General features: G+C 38.5%; 1 annotated feature.

The window, feature by feature from the left end:
• Nucleotides 264-423: a silencer, noted in NCBI's record as "silent region_4749". NCBI's record gives its function as "represses an Ori minimal core promoter by ATAC-STARR-seq in GM12878 lymphoblastoid cells {active_cell/tissue: GM12878}" and the evidence as "EXISTENCE:reporter gene assay evidence [ECO:0000049][PMID:35858748]".

Raw genomic sequence — 1,567 nt, forward strand, 5'->3', positions numbered from 1 at the left:
AAAGAACCCCAGAGACTAAAGGTCTATTTTATAATAGCAACAGAAAGAGATGGAAAAATCCCAAAGAGAAAACCTGCGGGGACATAGCTGAGCAGCAAGAAATCAGAGGAAATTAATAAGAGTCCCGACACAAACCTCATGAACCAAAGACTTCAAGTGGCAGGAGGAAAAACTGCAAACTTTCTGTGAGTTAGGAATGGTGTAGACGACCAGTGAAAATTAGGGGAAGTGAATTTACACCGAGCTTTTCAGAGTGAAGCATATACACATCATTTTAGATTAAGATGGGGCTACAACTGAGGAGTCTATGACTCATGAGTAGAGGCCACACATCTATAGTGGCTTTGCCAGGCCATGCTCTTTCATCTCTAGTTCCTCTGTTAACCCTAAAATCTTGTTTCCACTCTACTAATTCCTCATGTACTGCCACCCACTCTTTCATGCAACTCAAATGGAGGGAAGAAATGAATCAGGGTTAGTGGTCAGACAGCCCAAGCTTTGAATCTTAACTCCTACGCTTACTCTCTGTTTACAACCACTGTTCCCTCACTTGTTAAGTGGAAATAGCAATTCATCTCTTTAAACGCCATTATGAGAACAAAATAAGAAAAGATACATAAAGCATCCGGAACCATACTTCATACTGATAGTTTCTTAATAATAACCAGCTATTGTTATTAAAAAGCCAAATAATTCCACTGTACACTTCTTCTGTAGATTAGTGCCATAAACATTTTATTTGACTGACATGCCCAGCACTGAAAAATAAATTGAATAACTTCTGCTTCTGGCTACGAGAGAGTAATAGGATCCAGGTTCATCCTCCCACCATAAATAATTACAAAAGTAGACAAAATATATAAACAACTGCTTTCAGACATTGGACCACAGGCAGTACAGGAGTGTGATCCTTAATAAAGACAAACAACAGAGGTGAGTCCTAAAATTTCTCTGGCTTAATTTTTTTTTCTGGTGCAGAGAGGAGGAATCCAAACAGAGCCCCACAGAGTCTGAGAGTTGAGGAAACAGAGATCAAAGATTGGGAAGGCTGAGGCAGCTAAAACGTTCAGGGCAGAATATCAGAAAAAAATTGAGTGACAAGAGAAAAAGCCCTAAAATTAACAGAGGGATCAATTTGAGTCTTTGACTGAATACCAGTTTACAGATGAATAAGAAAAAAACTCCATGAAATCAAGGACAGAACAACTTTCAGGGAAAGAACAATTCTGGGGGCATGTAAGCTAAAGTTTTCAGAGCTCACATGGGGCTAGGAACTATTTATGATTCCAGAAGCCAGAGTGGTGAAACTGTGTTGAGTGCATGGGGCATTCAGTAGAGAGCTCAGAACAGTCACAAAATACTAGTGACAATAAAGTAATCCTACGCTTACAATAAAAAAATGAAAACGATTAAAAACAAGTCTCAAAAGGATCAAAGTGATCCACAAGTAACTTACTGCCGGCCAACACTCGATAAAGGAAAAACCGAAAAAGAAAAACCTCAAAAACACTCAACCATTTAAAATGTCTAAAGCCTATCATCCATTTAAAAATTGATAGACATACAA

This window comes from Homo sapiens, chromosome 12 (genome assembly GCF_000001405.40).
Source record: "Homo sapiens chromosome 12, GRCh38.p14 Primary Assembly".
Classification (NCBI taxonomy): domain Eukaryota; kingdom Metazoa; phylum Chordata; class Mammalia; order Primates; family Hominidae; genus Homo; species Homo sapiens.